The sequence below is a fragment of the Homo sapiens genome, chromosome 15 (genome assembly GCF_000001405.40).
Source record: "Homo sapiens chromosome 15, GRCh38.p14 Primary Assembly".
In the NCBI taxonomy this organism is placed as follows: Eukaryota; Metazoa; Chordata; class Mammalia; order Primates; family Hominidae; genus Homo; species Homo sapiens.
The window spans coordinates 28,458,546-28,471,605 of record NC_000015.10 but is presented as its reverse complement, the minus strand read 5'-3'; the positions used below and the strand labels follow the sequence as shown (position 1 = coordinate 28,471,605).

General features: G+C 38.3%; 1 pseudogene across 1 annotated transcript in view; it reads left to right on the top strand.

Moving 5' to 3' along the window:
* The window catches only part of LOC101059997 (alpha/beta hydrolase domain-containing protein 17A-like), a 30,190-nt pseudogene that overhangs the window by 13,208 nt on the left and 3,922 nt on the right, over window positions 1-13,060 (top strand). The window contains exon 3 of the transcript XR_007064495.1: window positions 788-875. The product of XR_007064495.1 is annotated as an alpha/beta hydrolase domain-containing protein 17A-like, transcript variant X1 (transcript). The remainder of the gene's footprint in view (window positions 1-787; window positions 876-13,060) is intronic.

The following is a 13,060-nucleotide window of genomic DNA, read 5'->3' as shown; positions in this document are numbered from 1 at the left end:
AGGAGGAGGGCTCATATATTTATTACCCATTCAGCAACCCCCCTCCCCATTTCTTGTTTCGTAGGTTTCAAAGCCTTTTCAAGGTGGCAGAGGGAAGTCATCCTGCCTTTCTTTTTTAGCTTCTGTGTGAACTTGAGTCCCATTCTTTATTCTTTATAGGAGTGTGCAGATCTCCAATTATTCATGCTTAAGTTTCATTCTGGGGTTGCAAGAGAATATCAAATGCAGTGCTACCTTTGAGGTCTATCATTTTAAGATCTGCTAGATTTATATGATAGAAATGTAGATTTTTATAGAGGACAGCAGAAAGTCATATCTTGCACAGGTGTCACTGAAAATTTACCTTTAATATCTAAGAATATGCTCTTTCATGAACTGCTCTCCTGGAGATGAAGAGAAGTGTTTTACTTTGCCAATTTTTTTTTTTTTTTTTTTTTTTTTTTTTTTTTTTTTTGAGACAGAGTTTCCCTCTTGTTGCCCAGGCTGGAGTGCAATGGCGCGATCTCGGCTCGCTGCAACCTCCGCCTCCCGGATTCAAGAGATTCTCCTGCCTCAGCCTCCAGAGCAGCTGGGATTACAGGCACGTGCCACCACAGCCCGGCTAATTTTTTTTGTATTTTTAGTAGAGACAGGGTTTCTCCATGTTGCTCAGGCTGGTCTCGAACTCCCGACCTCAGGTGATCCACCTGCCTCGGCCTCCCAAAGTGCCGATTACAGGCGTGAGCCACGGCGCCCGGCCTACTTTGCCAAACTTTTGACTACTGATGGTGTACGCGTGCCCTGGCAGGGATGGCCATTGTGCTGTCAGTATCAAGGGATGGCTAACAGCACCCACCACAATGTCAGCTATGAAAGGATTCAGAAAATAGCCTTCTGTAAGTCAGAATTTATTAATTAAGGAGTAGGGCCATGGAAGATGTCAACATAGGAATAGGTTTCAGATTCTAAACTGTAGATTTAGATGATCACTTCTTAGTGTTTGTATAAAATTTACTTTATTTTTTATTATAACATGAAGTTCGCTTTCCACCTTTATACTATGAAAAATGCCGTGTCTCACAATAGGGACATACCTGTGTTAAAGTATATGGAAGTAAATCAGCCACAATAGCAAACATTGCCTGCATGGACTCACCCAAAAATGCCTTTCTCGGCCTGCCATTGATCTGAACCTCATTTCTACCTTGCATTGTCTGCAATTAGAGTCACTAAGGAAGTAGATAAAGATTTTTACTTGGAAAATGTCACTTTTTAATGTTTTAATAATTAATTCGTTCAAGATACTCAACAAATGCTCACTGAGTTTCTAGTACGGTCCTGGTTCTGTACAGGCACTGAGGTTAAAGTTGTGAATAAAGCAGACACAACCCTGCTCTCATGGGCTTTCCATTGTAAGAAAAAAGTAAATAAACAAACCAATGAAACCAGTATTGTAGCTGACACATGTTATGCACAAAACCAAACAAGGTGAGGTAAGGAAAGATATTTAAGAAGAGTGTGCTGGTGAAGGCCACTCAGGGGCAGATGTTTGGGTTGATGCTGAATAAGGAGAAGAAAGGAGTCATGGGAAAACCTGTGAGAACTGTGTCTGGGGCAGAAGGCAAAGTAGGTGTAAAGGCCCTGTGGCAGGAATAAGTTTATTTTATTCAGAGAACAGAAGGCCAGGTGGCTAAAACAGAGTGAGTTAAAGGGAGGAGATAAACATACATCATGTTTTGGGGAGTCCAGTAGGCTCTGGTAAAGAGTTTATATTTTCTCCTAAATAGACTAAGAAGTCATTTTAAAACTGTAAGCAGAAACTAGCTGCGCGCAGTGGCTCATGCCTGTAATCTCAGCACTTTGGGAGGCTGAGGTGGGTGGATCACCTTAAGTCAGGAGTTTGAGACCAGCCTGGCCAACATGGTGAAACCCCATCTCTTCTAAAAATACAAAAATTAGCTGAGCACGGTGGAGCGTGCCTGTAATGCCAGCTACTGAGGAGGCTGAGGAAGGAGAATCGCTTGAACCCAGGAGTCGGAGCCTGCAGTGAGCCAAGATCGCGCCACTGCACTCCAGCCTGGATGACAGAGCAAGACTCCTTCTCAAAATAAATAAATAAATAAAAATACATCACAAATTTAATAAATAAATAAATAACTGTAAGCAGAAGCTGATACAATTTAATACATGTTTTATGAGGACTTCACTATGAAAACTGGACCCTGCGTACAAGAATGGAAAAAAGAAAGTAACACAGACAGAAGGCCACATAATTGGAGCTAGAATAATAAGAGTGGATAAGCTGAGAAGTGCATAGATTTAGACAAATATTGGAAGCGGGGTTTTTGGGATTTGTTAATGGATTGGAAATTTGGGAGACGGAAGAAAGATGATAGCGAGGTTTGGTGGGATGATAGTGTCACTAAGTGAGAAAAGGAATTCTGAGAGAGGAGCAGGCCTGGCGGAGGGTCCCTGGGATTGATTAGAAATCAGTGGTTTTGTTAACTGTGAGATGCTTGTTAGATGCCCAAGAGGGATGTGCAGAACTCAGGGAGACCACACAACTGGAGGTGTATGTTTGTAAGCATCAGCACGTGGATAGTATTTAAGCCCTGAGATTGTATAAGGTTGTCACCTTTCCTTTAGAGTATAAATTCACACCAAAACTATTGGTGGAGATGATAGGACAAGGGAATCATACAAAAAAAATTGTACTGCAAAAAGCTATGAATGAATAAAACATTTTATTAAATGTATTTGGCACCTTGTATATACCTAGTTGATCTAGGACAGAGAAGATACTTAGTAACATTCATTTTTTCTTACTGTAAGAATAATGACCCAGGAGGCGGAGGCTGCAGTGAGCTGAGATCAGGCCACTGCACTCTAGCTCTAGCAGACAGAGTGAGACTCCGTCTCAAAAAAAAAAAAAAAAAAAAGAATAATGAATGCTCATCAGAGGGAATTGAATTTTATTATTCTAGGAAATCTGATGGAAAAAGTGAAAAATAAATATTGATACCATTTATAAAACAATGAAAAGACTTATAAGAGAAGCCATCTAGGCTTTTCTCTATACTTAATTATACATATAAATACATCAGTACTTTACTTCAAAAAATAAGATCATAGGGTACATTTGATTTTATGATCTGAACTGCTCACCTGACCACACAAAACAAATACTTTACCATGACATTAAATAGTCTGCTATCTGGTTGTTAGTGCTGGCATACTATTCTATCATATGGAAAAATTACAGTTTTCCTTCACCCAGTCACCGAAAGTTGGATATTTAGGATGCGACCAGTTTTTCATGATAATAAAGACTAATAGGAATAGCAGTAGACATAAGATGTTTTTGGCATCTTTTTTTTCTTGTAATACGTTCTACATATTGAAACTAATAATTGTATTTTGCTACATATTGCCACGTTTTTCTCAAGGAAAATTATAGCTAACAGAAAGTGTCAGCTTTCTCTGTGTGTTAAGGGTGTGGGTGGAAGCTCGGCAGTGACGCTGAGACATATTGGTATGGAACATCATTGGACTCTCTAGAGATCAAGGTAGCAGTCCTGTAGAAATGTTAGCCCGAGCTGTGTGTCACCTGGGAGTACTCCAAGGACGGCCAAAAGAAATATTTTAGTTAGAAGACAATTTATAAGAAAAGTTTAGAGGCTTCCTAGAGAGGTCATAGCATACACAATTTTATTTCATCCTTTAGGGCAAGCCGTATATATATGTTCTGCGCACATCTCCTCCTGCACCCTCCTCAAAAAAAAAAAAAAAAAAAAAAAAAAAAAGCTGAGATCTGATGTAAATAGATAGCTGTGAATTATAGCTTGGTCCTTAAGGAATATCTCAGAAACTTCAATGTTCCTTCACCCCCTCCGCAAACCCTTCTGAATTGAGAATGGGAACCTTGGCAACAGAGGGGAGTCATGCACCTCCCTTTTCCATCTGTGACTCTGGCATCTTCCTCCAGGTCAGCCATGGTGCAAACTCTCACAGTTACTTTCTGGCAGTTTCCTGCATTCCAAACCTGTTTCTGAAATGGGCAATATTTGTCCCCTTGAAAATCACCTGTGATAAATGTGGTATAGCCCACGGCCAGTGAAAATTTTCCTACAGGGAGACATATTCCTAAGTGTTAACATTAACTTTTTCAGATGTTTGAGTCAGACTCAATTGCCCTTTCATATTATAGATTGAAAACAACACTTGGTTGATGTTAGTATATCTGATTGAGGAAATATGAGAGCCTTTTTAATTTAGATTTGCTCGCCTAGAAAACTCACTTTGAAACTTCTTGGTCATGTTATGTTTGCTTATGGCAAAGTTATCAGCAAAAAAGTCACTGTTATGCAGCAATTTATCTTTAAACACTAAATGACATCTATCATTTTTCAAAGAAAATAGTGTCAGCAGTTAAAATCCTAACTGCTTGAGCACTGTTAGTTGACAATTATAATGCCCCATTGCTTAGAAATTAATTGACCTACTTTCAATAAGAAACATAAAAAGTAATATCACAGCAATTTTCTGGATCTATTTTATTCCAAAACCAATAAATGTTACAGTGTTGTTAAAAGTAATAGATTTAAAAACATTTTATTTTCTTAAACTTAACAATTCAAATAACATAAAATAATATTACGTTTCTATTAAGTATTCATTTTTATACAGACCAAAAGTTCTTTAGAAAATGTCTTCATGTATAATATAAATTTGATTTTTAGATGTGAGAAAAGCAACAATCATAATCGTTGCCTAAATCCACAAAATAAGTAGATATTCTATAATATGTATTTCAGTAATCACAATGTATTGGATTCAGGCAGAGATGAGAGACACTCTGATTTTAGCAGAAAAAGACTGTGTTAAATTACCTCTTTGCCTTTTCTCACTCTGTTCCTAGGATAGCAATATAATAAATAGTAACTTTAGAACTGGGATACACTGAGAAAATGTCCTAATTTAAATCTCAATAGATGATTACACAGGTAGTGTTTACACACACACACACACACACAATGACAGGAGTTTTTAAAGATATTAGTATCTCGGAATTTTTGAATTCTGAAAACTGTCCAAGCTTTTATCATTAAATCACTTGTTATGAAACCCATTTTAGAAACACGCTTTCCTATTTTTAATAGCCTATGATAGTCATACAGAATGAGTTAATCAAAATTGATTGGTCAATTGCTAATTGCAAATTCTTTGACCGTAGCATGTCAGCTGATTCTATGAACTTCTACAGACTCTTTCCCTTGGTCCGGGAGTTGCCACAACACTCTGACTCCTTTCCCCACAACTCCATTACATGATATTGTCACCTCCCCAGGCTTACGATACTAATATTCCAGAGAGATGAACAGTCCTTGATTTTGAATAGCAATGCAGTAGTGACCAAAACAGATTTAGTTTTGGTTCAGAAGAAAGTGCTGGATATGCCCTCAGTAACTTTCCATGGTCATCTAATTCAGCAATTAGTTTGAGTAAATTCAATGGAAGGCTGCTTTCTGGAATGGGTAGTGTAATGTACTGACTTCCCTATTAGACATTTCATTTAAAAAAATCAATTGTCCGCATAAAACAACCATTTCAATCAGTGTACATTCAACTGGAAAGGAAAGTTAGAGGACTTTTTTTGAAAGTAATGGGATTGGGGTTGGCCGTTGCTAATTTCTTTTTGATTAAAGCGTATGTAATTGTTTTGTGTTGGATAAAAATTTGACTTTTTATTTGCGCGGATGCTGCTGATCTTATATGTTATCATTTCCCATTCAGACTTGAGCTGTTTACCTGCCGGGTTTTCTGTTCATAAAATGTTGAAAGGACGTTAAAATGTAGAACTTTTACATTTTTTATTTAGGTGACTAGGACAAATTCTGGTAATTTGTAGGCTACAACTTAAATGTATTTCTGCTTAAAATATTTTGAAATATGGTTTATTTCACAAATGAGGTTCCAAACTATAACCAGCTCTCACTAAATTCTTATTTATTTATTTATTTATTTATTTATTTTGAGACGGAGTCTTTCTCTGTCACCCAGGCTGGAGGGCAGTGGCCGGATCTCGGCTCACCGCAAGCTCCGCCTCCCGGGTTCACGCCATCCTCCTGCCCCAGCCTCCTGAGTAGCTGGGACTACAGGCGCCCGCCACCACGCCCAGCTCATTTTTTGTATTTTTAGTAGAGATGGGGTTTCCCCGTGTTAGCCAGGATGGTCTGGATCTCCTGACCTCGTGATCCGCCCGCCTCGGCCTCCCAAAGTGCTGGGATTACAGGCGTGAGCCACCGCGCCCAGCCAAAAGATCATTTTTAAATTATGTATCTGGGAATATATTATCAAACCAGGCCTGAAACTTATTAAAAAGATGGTAAAATCTAATTTAACTTCATTTAATACTCCTTTTCTCTTAGTCTTATAAAAGCAAATGAGCTTGTTGGCTTTTCATTATGAAAATATAATTTTAATTTATAAGACATATGTAACAAAGCAAGATAGCTGCTAAATTCACTCTATCCTAATAACTTCTGGTACCCACCTGTGGTCCCAGCTGTTTGGGAGGCTGAGGTGGGAGGATCCTGTGAGCTGGGGAAGTTGAGGCCGCAGTGAGCTAAGATCGGGCCCCTGCACTCCACCCTGGGCAACAGAGTGAGACCCTGTCTGAAAATAAAAAAAAATAAAAAACGGGGTTGAGAGACAAAAAAGGACATCCTTTTTTTTATTATTGTATTTTGAGATGGAGTTTCGCTCGTTGCCCAGGCTGGAGTGCAATCGTGTGATCTTGGCTCACTGCAACCTCCGCCTCCCGGGTTCAAGTGATTGTCGTGCCTCAGGCTCCCGAGTAGCTGGCATTACATGTGCCTGCCATCACGCCCAGCTAATTTTTGTATTTTGATACAGACGGGGTTTCACCATGTTGGCCAGGGTGGTCCCCAACTACTGACCTCAGGTGATCCACCTGCCTTGGCCTCCCAAAGTGCTGGGATTACAGACATGAGCCACCGCGCCAGCCGAAACCTTCATTTTAGAAAAGGCTGGGTCAGGCATCATGCCTCATGCCTGTAATCCCAGCACTTTGAGAGGGCAACGCAGGCGGATCACCTGACGTCAGGAGTTCGAGACCAGACTGACCAACATGTTGAAACCCCGTCTCTACCAAAAATATAAAAATTAGCCGGGTGTGGTGGCACACACCTGTAATCCCAGCTACTCAGGAGGCTGAGGCAGGAGAATTGCCTGAATCTGGGAGGCGGAGGTTGCAGTGAGCCGAGATTGTGCTACCACACTGCAGCCAGGATGACAGAGTGAGACGCCATCTCAAAAAATAAATAAAGGCTGGGTGCCAGATGTGGTGCATAGGCCTAGTTTGTTGACTCCTGTACTTAACATATAAAACTCTAAAGAACAGTGGGAAGGAGCTTCCCTCTAGAGGCACAGGAGCGGCCAAGTTGGTCCCTGAGCAGTGACTTCATAATAACATGTTACACTGTGTTTTTTGTTTTTGTTTTGTTTTTTGTTTGTTTGAGACGGAGTTTTGCTCTTGTTGCCCAGGCTGGAGTACAATGGCGTGATCTCAGCTCAAAACAACCTCTACCTCCCAGATTCAAGTGATTCCCCTGCCTCAGCCTCCAAAGTGGCTGGGATTTCAGTCATGCAACACCACGCCCAGCTAATTTTGTACTTTTAGTAGGGATGGGGTTTCTCCATGTTGGTCAGGCTGGTCTCGAACTCCTGACCTCAAGTGATCTGCCCGCCTCGGCCTCCCAAAGTTCTGGGATTACAGGCGTGAGCCACCACACCCGGCCTATTTTTTTTTTTTTTTTTTTTTAGACACAGTCTGACTCCGTTGCCCAGGCTGGAGTGCAGTAGCGCGATCTTGGTTCACTGTAACTTCTGCCTCCCTGGTTCAAGCGATTCTCCTGCCTCAGCCTCCCAAGTAGCTGGGATTACAGGCATGCACCACCACATCCGACTAATTTTTGTATTTTTAGTAGAGATGGGGTTTCACCATGTTGGCCAGGCTGGTCTCAAACTCCTCACCTCAAGTAATCCGCCCGCCTCGGCCTCCCAAAGTGCTGGGATTACAAGGCGTGACCCACCGGGCCTGGCCCTGTGTGTTGTTTTATGTATGTTTCTATACGTGTTATATTTCACAATAAACTAAATATTAAAACAAAGAATAACTGATAGCTATGCACAAAGGTATTTAAATTTCACCTTCACAATTTTTTTTTTTTTTGAGACAGGATCTCACTCTGTTACCCAGGCTGGAGTGCAGTGGCACCACCTTGGTTCACTGCAGCCTTGACCTCCCAGGCCCAAGCGATCCTTCTACCTCAGCCTCCTGAGTAGCTGGGACTACAGGCACACTCCACCACACCCACCTAATTTTTGTATTTTTGGTAAAGATGAGGTTTCACCATGTTCACCATGAAGCCCCTGCCTCATTCCCAAGTTCTCTCCTTTTCCACTGCCAGTACTTGGAAGGTTATGTGCCATGTGTGTCATAGGTTAAGGCTAGAGGAGTTTATTCTGACTGACATTGAACTTTATGGGAGCAACCAACAAACTTTGGTTTGGTTGAGCCACTGAGAATTCCAGTTTAGTATCTTCTTGTTGCTACTGCTGTTTACCAACACAGTGGGATTTCTACAGGGCTCCAGCGGGCAGAGAAATTCCATGTGAACAAGAATGTCTCATGTTGGGCTTCTGTATAAATTGTGCTGATGAAAAATGTTAAGCTGATAAAAATTTTAGAAATTCATTGCTCCACACTGTATCGATGCTATTTTTGTCTCAGTTGAAGCCATCCTAAAATTATATATTTAGATCATACTATCTTCAATAGAATTGTTTTTACCGAGTTGCTTTTTGACGTTATAGATGAGCCTTTTGTAATTCACAACTGAGTTTATACACAAATGTTATTGAGTCTATTGCCCACCATGTTAGAGAGGTTTATGAGAGCTCAATGCAGAAATGCCTCTGAAGTGGGAAAATCTGTCATTTCTCTGAAGAAACTATTATAGTTTTAACAGAATGAGTGATGGAAAATAATAATATAGAAAATCATATGAAGGAGTAAGAAAGATGGGGCACTATTAAAGGGATTATTTGATGGCAATAAGGATGAAAATGTGTCATTGAAATTCTTAGGTTTCACATAGAAATTGCACCGGTTTATCCTAGCAGACATTTTGTTTAGAAGTTTTTAAGAAAATAAATTTCTGAATCATGGTTTACACTGTTTTAGGTCATTGGAACTAGTAAAAATGTTTCACTATGCAGACTATTAGTCAACATTTAAATCATGCTTTTCAATAAAGAATGTCAAATTGTGAGAGGAGAATTAATAAACCTAATTGTTACAGTCACTGAGCTGACATGTTGAAGTGCCTGGAAAATTTCTCACATGAATAATGGGTGAAGAGTCAAAGAATGTTTCACTTGGGGAAAAGAAGACCTGCCGGGTTTTGGAAAGGGTATGTGTATGCATTTAGTATTGTTTAGTGTGGTAGCTCTGTGGTCCTGACCTTCACATATTTATTGGGCTGCCATGTGTTAGGTGGAAACACAAAACTGTCATTTTTTTGTAGGACAAAAAAGGCTGAATACTGACAATTTCATATGGTTCCACCTAATAGAATAGGAAACAGAGTTATCTCTGAATTGTTTATCTAAGGTAGAATTTGGGGAAGTACTTACAATTTATAAAAATTAAATTTTAGACTAAAATATATAGATATATCTAGAGTTGTTCAAAAATGAAAATAGAGCTGAAATATCAAGTGCTATAATGGAGTTCATATGAGAATTCCATGCTTTATATTTGAGGTTGGATATGTGCTTTTTCTTTATCCCTTTCATTTATATGGATCTAATCTTCTATAATGCTTCAAACATTTTGACAGAGATCTTCTTTGGTGTTCTTTTTTCTCTTGATTTAAAAATCTGCTTTACAACCAAACAGTAAGATTAAACAAAACCAAACAATGCCCATGGCTTCATGGTCACTCTACCCATCTACAAAGGCCTTGTGCATGGCCTATTATGGTCATCTTGAAATTCTTTGTAAGTTTTTATCAAAGGGTTCTACATTTTCACTTTTTACTGGGCCCTGAAAATTATGCACCCAATCCTCAATCCTTGGTCTTCTTAAATTTGCATGCAGATTAGAATTATAAAGGTACATCAATTCTAGGCCATCAAAGGCTAGCTTATAACTCAAATTACATTTGGGAATTGTTCTTACGTAACAGCATTTATTGCTCCAAAGATCATTGTGTAATAACTACTAAATAATCTATATGAATGTACATTTGGAAAACCATGAAAACTTTCTGAAAGAGCTCTGCTGTTTTATGTAACAATCATAAAATATTTCCAAAGGCATAAATAAAAATAATTACAACAGAAAATCTGAGAGACAAAAAGAAAATCTATGATAATATACCAATGCAATTTATTGAAAATAGATACACATGGAACAAAGAATAAAGGAACAGCAGGAAAATGTGCCACTATTGTGGTTACAGCTTCGAGGCAACACATTAAAATGCCAACCAGACACAGGTGGCAACAGATGTATCTACCACCAAAAAATAAAGTTAAATTAAATCAAGTGAAAAATTTCAAATGAAGTAACTGTTCAATGAAAAGGAAAAAAGAATAAAAATCACATCTGCTTACATGGCAATGAAAGGTGAAAGAGTCTGCTAAAAGTTTATGTTGAAAATTAAGATGGAGGTAATCTATGCACACTCATCCAAAAATAGAAAACAAGGAATTAGTGGACCAATGCCAATGTTAATTTTGAAGACCTCAAAAAGAAGAAAATTAAGATATGGTTGATAGGTTCTCTACAATATAGCAAGAAAACTCTGCCCAAATTCTAAAGGATACAAAGTCTACTCAATTTAATAACAAATGGCACGTTTCTGTTTCTTAAAAGACATATGCAGAATCTGTGAGTGCATTTTCTACTTTAGGGACCATTTGAATTAAAATCCTTAAGTTCTTATGAATGTTTGAGAAATACATACAGTAAATGAATAAAGCCCATAGTTATTTAAGGATAACATTTAAAATTATTTCCTAAATATTTAATATTAAAATAATAGTACATGCCGTCCAGTCATAATCAAAAAAGCCAAAGTGATTATGGAGTATTGAGGCTGAAAAGAGTTAGATCTAAACCAACCTCTTCTGGACTTCACTGTCAAGGAGAAGAATTGAGAGGAAAATTTTCAAAAAACATGTATATTTGTGAGATTGGTGATGAGAAAAAACCTGTGAAATATTGCCATTTCTTTGGAGTAAAAATTTTAAATGATTGGTTAGCACGATGTCCCTTTCTCGTCACACTCACATCTTTCTGATTTGCTCCTCACATCTCGGGCATGCTGAGGCTATAATGCCTTTCCATCTACCTTAGGTTTACTATTTTAAAATTGGTTTTTGATGTTGTGAACATGAAGTGTGTATTAATACAGGAGAATGGGGTGTGTATTTCTGAAAGTCCAGAGTTGTAGTGGCAAAGAAGAGATTTCTGGAGTCCCCTGCGTGCCTGCTTACAGAGGTTTCCTTCCTGACATTGTCAAATTCCAGAATTCTTGCCCTGGCTCCATTTTAAAGCCCAGAGCACAGTTAAGTGTCTTTTCCTGACCCTCATTTATACTACCATGAGGCTCCTTTGTAACATGAAATGTGCAATGTGACCAATTGTTGGCTGCCCAAACAAGCATATGTTAGGACTTTTCACTCTGGCCCCCTATACTGACACATCATTCACATTTAGTAAAGGAAGGTGCACTCTGCTAAACTCACCACATTCTTTACTTTATGGAGTCATAAGAGATATTCCACTAAGTCCTTTTGCTTGATCCCACAGAGACCATCCTATGAAAACTGAATTAATATGAAAGCAGGTAGAGTGAATATTCATTTAAGTCATTTACAACAACATCAAATAGTGTCTCCAAGTGGAACAGATAAGTAGAGACCAATTTGGCAGGAGATAGGATGGGGAAAGAGAGTGGCTGATGCATGCTGAGAAGTAGGAGGAACAGTCCAGTTTTTAAAACATTGTTCTTCTTGTTAAGAGTCTGTTTATCAGATTAAACACAGTCAAGCGGTCAGCTGAGTCTAATAATTCAGCAACTGAGAACAGATGGAGAAAACCTGGATATGTGTCTGTGTGTACACTCACATGCAAAATCAGTTGCCCTGACTTTATCTTACTTACATCCATCTATTTATTGATTTTGATAGGAAGAGTATGTATTTTAGATACCTCAAGAATATCTCCTGAAATACTTCCATGTTCTTGCCTTTTGAAGAATCTTTTTAAAGAAGAAAAATAATTATTAGCAAAGAATCCACATTCCCAATGGCTCCATTTTCATCTCCTTAATCCAGTGTTAAAATTCATGGCTTGGGAAAAGTGGGATGTTTACAATGCCTATCTATACCATTTATCTATACCATTCGTTTTAATAGCCTGTTCACTTGAACAATTTCTAAGTATGTGGCAAAAGAAACTAAACTAAAATAATAATGCGTTATATTTGAAAACATCAGTATCCTGTACACAAAACTTCCATAAGTAATTCTTCCTAGATTGAGACTAGAACTAATCCATTTCCAAAATCATCTACATTTTTCTGAAGACAAAAAAAAATGTGGCTACAGATAATTGCCATAGGCTGCAAATATTCTAATTCATCTGATATTTCTCTCCTGTTGCATGTTGTATAGATAAATATAATGCATCAATATTAGGATAGCAGGTATTTTATTAAATGTTAATGCAGAATTCTAAATTTTCTAGATTTCACAGAAAAGCAAGCTACCGATAATAAGTAGTATTTAAAGAGAACTCTTATCTACTACAATCAATTGAGAAATCCAGGATATTAAGACCACAAAAATGATTGTTTAGATGATTTAATTATAGCACAACAGGCTTTTCTGCTGATAATGTTATAATGATGTTTTCATAACCCAATCTCAACAAACATAACTAGAGTACAAATGATGAGCACAAAAATCCATCTCATTTGTAGCT